The following is a 1542-nucleotide window of genomic DNA, read 5'->3' on the forward strand; positions in this document are numbered from 1 at the left end:
TCTCTATACCTATCCATTTGTTGGCATGTCCTTGCATAGTGAACTCCTGCCTCCCCACTCCTCCCTCAGCCCTGTGTGCTTTGGGACCTGAGGCCAGAGGAGTAACCACATTTCTACCCCTATGCTGAGCTGGGAGGGCCCCAGGTCCCTGGCACCCAGACCCAGTGCTGCCAACAGCTCTCATGCCCACAGGCAAAGGAACCGCAGCACTCATACTGTCCTTCCTCCCAGGACAATCACTGGGTGTGGGGAAGTGAAACCTAGGAGAAAGAGCAGAAACTGAGAGGCAGGAGAAAGAGGAAGCAGGAGAGAATTCACAAGCAGGACCATAGCAGATGGGAAGAAATGGAGACAGCAGAGGGAGACCCACCTGTGGCTGCTGCCATTTCTTGCCTGGACAGCTGGTCTGTCTGTGCTCACCCTCACCCTGACACTTCTGTCCACTCCCAACCATGAGCAAGACGGCGGACCCTCTGAGCGCCTAGGTCAAACCCTGCCATGGCTCCTGTCTTCCTTGAGTGCAAGTTCTTTTTTTTTTTTTTTTTGAGATGGAGTCTCACTCTGTTGCCCAGGCTGGAGTGCAGTGGTGCGACTTTAGCTCACTGCAACCTCTGCCTCCCCTGTTCATGCGATTCTCCTGCCTCAGGCCCCTGAGTAGCTGGGATACAGGTGTGCACCACAATGCCAGACTAATTTTTTTTTGTATTTTTTATTTTTATTTATTTATTTGAGATGGAGTCTCACTCTGTCTCCCAGGCTGGAGTGAAGTGGCGTGATCTCGGCTCACTGCAACCTCCACCTCCCAGGTTCAAGCGATTCTCCTGCCTCAGCCTCCTGAGTAGCTGAGATTACAGGCGTGCGCCACCATGGCTAATTTTTGTATTTTTAGTAGAGACTGGGTTTCACCATGTTGGTCAGGCTGGTCTCAAACTCCTGACCTCGTGATCTGCCCGCCTTGGCCTCCCAAAGTGCTGGGATTACAGGCGTGAGCCACTGCGCCCAGCCTTTTTTTGTATTTTAGTAGAGACAGGGTTTCACCATGTGGTCCAGGCTGGTCTCAAACTCCTGACCTCAAGTGATCCCCCTGCCTCAGCCTCCCAAAGTGCTGGGATTGCAGGTGTGAGCCACCGTGCCCAGTCTTTTTTTTTTTTTTTTTTTAAAGATGCAGTCTTGGCTGGGTGCGCTGGCTCATGCTTGTAATCTCAGCATTTTGGGAGGCCGAGGCGGGCGGATCACCTCAGGTCAGAAGTTCGAGACCAGCCTGAACAACATGGTGAAACTTCGTCTCTACTAAAAAAAAATACAAAATTAGCCGAGCATGGTGGCGCATGCCTGTAATCCCAGCTACCCAGCTACTTGGGAGGCTGAGGCAGGAGAATCGCTTAAACCCGGGAGGCAGAGGTTGTGGTGAGCCAAGATCTCGACATTGCACTCCAGCCTGGGCAACAAGAGTGAAAATCCGTCTCAAAAAAAAAACATAAAAAAAAGATGGAGTCTTGCTTTGTCACCCAGGCTGGCATACAGTGGCACAGTCAGGGCTCA

Source organism: Homo sapiens, chromosome 19 (genome assembly GCF_000001405.40).
Source record: "Homo sapiens chromosome 19, GRCh38.p14 Primary Assembly".
Classification (NCBI taxonomy): Eukaryota; Metazoa; Chordata; class Mammalia; order Primates; family Hominidae; genus Homo; species Homo sapiens.